The 6557-nt window shown below is 51.2% G+C and overlaps 1 annotated feature.

Moving 5' to 3' along the window:
* Positions 6275–6324: an enhancer, noted in NCBI's record as "active region_12600". NCBI's record gives its function as "activates an Ori minimal core promoter by ATAC-STARR-seq in GM12878 lymphoblastoid cells {active_cell/tissue: GM12878}" and the evidence as "EXISTENCE:reporter gene assay evidence [ECO:0000049][PMID:35858748]".

Below are 6557 nucleotides of genomic sequence, written 5' to 3'. Positions count from 1 at the left end.
TGCCTCACCCTCCTGAGTAGCTGGGATTACAGGCGCCCGCCACCATGCCTGGCTAATTTTTGTATTTTTAGTAGAGACAGGGATTCACCATGTTGGCCAGGCTGGTCTTGAACTCCTGATCTCAAGTGATCCACCCATCTTGGCCTCCCAAAGTCACAGGATTACAGGCATGAGCCACCGCGCCCAGCCTGGCCCTCCAGTGTTAAATAGAAATGGTGACAATGGGCTTTCATTCTTTGTTTCTGCTCTTAAAGAGAAGGCTTCCACATTTCCATTATTATTTCTCCTGTGTGTTTTGATAGAAAATGTTCATCATGTTAAGGAAGTTGGCAGCTAGTCTAGTTTCCTATGGATTTGTTATTACTGTTATTTATTTATTTTTGAGATGAAGTCTCGCTCTGTCACCTAGGCTGGAGTGCAGTGGCGTGATCTCGCCTCACTGCAACCTCTGCCTCCCGGGTTCAAGTGATTCTCCTGCCTCAGCCTCCTGAGTAGCTGGGATTACAGGCACCTGCCACCGTGCCCAGCTAATTTTTGTATTCTTAGTAGAGACGGGGTTTCACCATGTTGGCCAGGATGGTCTTGAACTCCTGATCTCATGATCTGCCCGCCTTGGCCTCCCAAAGTGCTGGGATTACAGGCGTGAGCCACGGCACCCGGTCACACTTTGGTTTTTTTAGTAGGGACGGGGTTTCACCATATTGGCCAGGCTGGTCTCAAACTCCTGACCTTGTGATCTGCCCGTCTTGGCCTCCCGAAGTGCTGGGATTATAGGCGTGAGCCACCACGCCGAGCCTATTACTGTTATTTATGAATGTTGAATGTTATTGCATGCTTTTTCTGCTTTTATTAAGATGATCCTACATCTTTCCTCCTTAGTTATTCATTTTCTTTATTATGAAATACTTCAAAAACAGAGAAATAGAGAATAGTACAACAGCTTCAGTAAGAGTTGTCAGTCACAGGCCATAGGAGCCAACTCTAGCGGTTTAGGTGGTAAAATGATTCATGAGGAGGAGAGTGGCATCTCTCTGAATTACAGGGAAGACTGGTTCTCTGAACTGTAGATGCTGCTGCTTGCTCCTCCCACCTCTCCAGCACTGAATCCTTCAGACTGCCAGTAGCACTGCTGCACCTGCTCCAGGAACTCTATCCTATGCCACTGGAGGTGGGGCTACTCATGTTCCATTTCACTTAGGGCTGAGTGTTTTTATTTTTAATTTTGTTATTTTTATTTTTGAGACTGAGTCTTGCTCTATCGCCCAGGCTGGAGTGCAGTGGTGCCGTCTCGGCTCATTGCAACCTCCGCCTCCCAGGTTCAAAGGATTCTCCTGCCTCAGCCTCCCAAAGTGTTGGAATTACAGGCATGAGCCACCACGCCTGACAAGGGGCTGTTTTTATATAGCTGAGCCCAGGTCATCTGCTTATACCGTAGATATATAGGAAGAAGGTTCAGATGTTGGGTGGCCAAAAGGAAAGACATTTGTCTTTCCTTCCCTGCCTGCTGGATCAGTGACATGAGGATCCTCAGATGGCCTGAAGGAAGCCTTAGCTTCCAATTTATCAGAACCATGACCATGGTAGTACAATCCCCTGGTAGAAACAGTTCCCACCTCAGGCACTAGAATATTCAGACTCCCAAATCCAAGGTCATAGGGATGGGCAGCAAGAGTTCTTCAAGTGTGTTCTTAGGTGTAAGCATGAGAGTAGCTACTCTTTCACCCTCTGTTTCCTAGATATACGCTTTCTTTTTTCTTTTCCTTTTTTTTTTTTTTTTTTGAGACAGAGTCTTGCTCTGTTGCACAGGCTAGAGTGCAGTGGTGCAATCTTGGCTCACTGCAACCTCGGCCTCCCAGGTTCAGGTGATTCTCCTGCCTCAGCCTGCCAAGTAGCTAGTATTACAGGAGCCCACCACCATGCCCAGCTAATTTTCTTTTCTTTTTTTTTTTTTTTAATTTTTATTTTTTTAATTGATCATTCTTGGGTGTTTCTCGCAGAGGGGGATTTGGCAGGGTCACAGGACAATAGTGGAGGGAAGGTCGGCAGATAAACAAGTGAACAAAGGTCTTTGGTTTTCCTAGGCAGAGGACCCTGCGGCCTTCCGCAGTGTTTGTGTCCCTGGGAACTTGAGATTAGGGAGTGGTGATGATTCTTAACAAGCATGCTGCCTTCAAGCATCTGTTTAACAAAGCACATCTTGCACCGCCCTTAATCCATTTAACCCTGAGTGGACACAGCACATGTTTCAGAGAGCACAGGGTTGTGGGTAAGGTCACCGATCAACAGGATCCCAAGGCAGAAGAATTTATCTTAGTACAGAACAAAATGAAAAGTCTCCCATGTCTACTTCTTTCTACACAGACACGGCAACCATCCGATTTCCCAATCTTTTCCCCACCTTTCCCCCCTTTCTATTCCACAAAACCGCCATTGTCATCCCGGCCCGTTCTCAATGAGCTGTTGGGTACACCTCCCAGACGGGGTGGTGGCCGGGCAGAGGGGCTCCTCACTTCCCAGTAGGGGCGGCCGGGCAGAGGGGCTCCTCACTTCCCAGACGGGGTGGCTGCCGGGCAGAGGGGCTCCTCACTTCTCAGATGGGGCGGCTGCCGGGCGGAGGGGCTCCTCACTTCTCAGACGGGGCGGATGCTGGGCAGAGGGTCTCCTCACTTCTCAGACGGGGCGGCTGGGCAGAGACGCTCCTCACCTCCCAGATGGGGTCGCGGCTGGGCAGAGGCGCTCCTCACATCCCAGACGGGGCGGCGGGGCAGAGGCGCTCCCCACATCTCAGACGATGGGCAGCCGGGAAGAGGCGCTCCTCACTTCCTAGATGGGATGGCGGCCGGGCAGAGACGCTCCTCACTTTCCAGACGGGGTGGCGGCCGGGCAGAGGCTGCAATCTCGGCACTTTGGGAGGCCAAGGCAGGCGGCTGGGAGATGGAGGTTGTAGCGAGCTGAGATCACGCCACTGCACTCCAGCCTGGGCACCATTGAGCACTGAGTGAACCAGACTCCGTCTGCAATCCCGGCACCTCGGGAGGCCGAGGCTGGCGGATCACTCGCGGTTAGGAGCTGGAGACCAGCCCGGCCAACACAGCGAAACCCCGTCTCCACCAAAAAAGTACGAAAACCAGTCAGGCGTGGTGGCGCGCGCCTGCAATGGCAGGCACTCGGCAGGCTGAGGCAGGAGAATCAGGCAGGGAGGTTGCAGTGAGCCGAGATGGCAGCAGTACAGTCCAGCTTCGGCTCGGCATCAGAGGGAGACCGTGGAAAGAGAGGGAGAGGGAGACCGAGAGGGAGAGGGGAGAGGGGAGAGGGGAGAGGGGAGAGGGAGAGGGAGAGGGAGAGCCCAGCTAATTTTCATATTTTTAGTAGAGACGGGGTTTCACCTTCTTGGCCAGGCTGGTCTCAAACTCCTGACCTCCTGATGCACCTGCGTCAGCCTCCCAAAGTGCTGGGATTACAGGCGTGAGCCACCACGCCCGGCATCTAGATGTACACTTTCTAGTTTTGAAGGAGACAATTCCAAATGTTAGCAGCTTTTAAAAGACATAACTGCAACCTGTAGGCCAACACTTGAAGCCAACAGGGTGTTGTCTCCAGGCTAACCCTGTAAATGAACTTTCAGCAGCCATTTCACCGCCCTCTAACCCAGCTGCTTCTGGGTGGTGGAACTTTAACTTTACGTCTCTATTAAGTCAAGTCTGAGTTAGCCATTGTAGACTATTCATGCCAACTCCAAAGCCCAAACCTGGGTGAGTGTATCAGTGAATTCAGCCCAATCAAGCCTTTTATTTATTTATTTATTTTTATTTATTTATTTATTTTTTGACACAGATTCTCACTTTTTCACCCAGGCTGGAGTGCAATGGCACGATCTCGGCTCACTGCAACCTCTGCCTCCTGGGTTCAAGCGATTCTCCTGCCTCAGCTTCCCGAGTAGCTGAGACTACAGGCATGCACCCACCACCACGCCCAGCTAATTTTTTGTATTTTTAGTAGAAACAGGTTTCACCATGTTGGCCAGGCTGGTCTCAAACTCCTGAGTTTGAGGAGTTTGAAGAGTGATCCGCCCGCCTCAGCCTCCCAAAGTGCTGGAATTACAGGCACGAGGCTCTGTGCCCAGCCAAGCCTTGTGTTTACCATCTTTAGGCTAACACAATGCTTAGAATCCTCTCCGACACGTGCTCCCAAGACCCTTGTGGATTTGAACTGGCAAGGTCCTGCCACTTCTTTAGTGTATAGACATTCTCTTTCTAGAGCAGGCCTTGTACTGCCCAAGTGGGCTATGTTGGGATCTAACTCTCCTTTTGATGCTGGAGGAATGAAGAGAAGATCTGGTGTCCCTTTTTAGTGAAGCAACTGTCCTAGGTGCAGTCACAGAAGGTTCCTTAGGCAGGGATAAGTTGGTTACCTCTACACGGGAGGACCTGCCTGAACAGACAAGGGAGCTTTGAAGGATTTGAGAATTCAAAAGTGCCAGAGTCTCAGCCTTGTCTGTGACCACTTAGATGCTCCTATTCTAAGTCTCAGGGTCCCACTACGTCCCCACTATGCCCTTTCCTAAGCATTTACTTGGAACTCCTACATGCACAATGAGGCCCTGGGCTGAGTCTTCCATCATATCCACCCTGAAAGTATAGGAGATGAAGGCTCCTTCGAAGATGCCACCAGACCTTTCTTGCTGTCTATTGCATTCTCTGTTCAAGATTCACAGCATTTTTTTTTTTTTTTTGAGATGGATGGAGTTTCGCTCTTGTTGCCCAGGCTGGAGTACAATGGTGTGATCTCGGCTCACCACAACCTTGGCTCACCGCAACCTCTGCCTCCTGGGTTCAAGCGTTTCTCCTGCCTTGGCCTCCCGGGTAGCTGGGATTACAGGCATGCACCACAATGCCCAGCTAATTTTGTATTTTTAGTAGAGTTGTGTTTCTCCATGTTGGTCAGGCTGATCTCGAACTCCTGACCTCAGGTGTACCCTTAAAGGAAATGCATGCCTTCCCCTCCTTTTTATTGCATCTGTAGGCTGCAATGTGGCCACAGTGGGGGGAGCTGTATTGAACTACACAAGCAACAAAATAGAGTCTGAATCCCCAGCAACTAAGAACTGCTAACAGAGAGACAGGAACAGTTTGGGTGTGACACTGGAGTCAGGCAGCCTTGGGTTCAAACACTGATTCTGCTAATCCCTAGCTGTGGACCTCGGGTGAAGAATTTAACCTCACGGTCTTCAGTTTCCTTAGCTGTAAAATGCTGGGAGGATGCAAGGAGCTGTCATAACGAAATTGCCTAGCAGTGTTCATGGTCCAGAGCAGGGTTTTAACGAACAGAAGCTGGCATGTCACCACTCTCTGTCCCTAGGAGCCTTGCCTTTTGCCTCCCTTTTCTGCCTTGATCCGCGCCCCCACCCATCTCTCCTCCCGTTCTTTCTTCACTTTCACTTTCTGGTCTGCCTCTTCCTTAAGCTGGACTCTGTGACTGTAGGTGTGTTTAATGTTTGGCTGCCTTCAGGAGGCCAGCAAGGCTCCCTGGCCAACATTTTACTTTTTTTTTTTTTTTTTTGAGACGGAGTCTCACTCACTCTGTCGCCCAGGCTGGAGTACAGTGGCGCGATCTCGGCTCACTGCAACCTCCGCTTCCCGGGTTCAAGTGCTTCTCCTGCCTCAGCCTCCCAAGTAGCTGAGACTACAGGTGCTCACCACCACGCCCGGCTAATTTTTGTATTTTTAGTAGAGAAGGGGTTTCACCATGTTGGCCAGGCTGGTCTTGAACTCCTGGCCTCAAGTGATCTGCCCACCTTGGCCTCCCAAAGTGCTGGGAATACAGGCAGGAGCCACCGTGCCCGGCCATGGTTCCCTGGCCAACCTTTTACTTATTCCTCTCCCTTCTACAATGATGCTTCTCCACCACATCAAAAGGTCCTCTCCTTTCCTCTTCCACAGCCATTGGCTGCAGGGAAATCGCCAGGGACAGAGCTGCAACTTGCCAGGCCAGCCCTGGAGGCAGCCCTGGAACCCTCTTGCTCCCTCGACCTTCTCCCTCCCCTTTCCCGGGAGGCCCAGGAAAGGGAGCTGGCACCCTGGGCCACTGAGCCAGTGGCAAGGCTCAGCCAGCAGGAGGAGAGCAGCGGATCAGGACTGCCTCAGACCTTTGATAAACCAGGTCTTGGAAGAAGGCCACTTACTCTTCTTTGTGTTTCTCTGTGTGCTGATTCCTGAGATTTGCAGGACATGTTTAATATTTGCTTGGAGAATCTATGAAAAGAAAAAGAAAAACAGAGAGGGAAGGAAACAGGAACCAAAATGCCACTTATCCCATGAGGGCACTGAGGCCTGGGCTCTGAGTCTCTCTGTTGCTGGCGGGGGCCAGGCTTCCTGTGGTGGGAGCGGCAGGCCTCCCTTCTCAGGCGTGGGTTCCACCACGGCTTGAAAGCCCCAGACCACCTCGCCCCTCCCTGGGAACTCAGCCTCTTGTGCAGCCACATAAAGGTAACCAGTGTCTGGTGGCTTGATAGGACAGACTTGTGAGGGACTTCCTGCCTTTTGATGCATGCCATTCCT

Source organism: Homo sapiens, chromosome 17 (assembly GCF_000001405.40).
Source record: "Homo sapiens chromosome 17, GRCh38.p14 Primary Assembly".
Lineage (NCBI taxonomy): Eukaryota > Metazoa > Chordata > Mammalia > Primates > Hominidae > Homo > Homo sapiens.
Note: the sequence above shows the minus strand (reverse complement) of the source record. Positions and strands in the feature narration are given on the sequence as shown.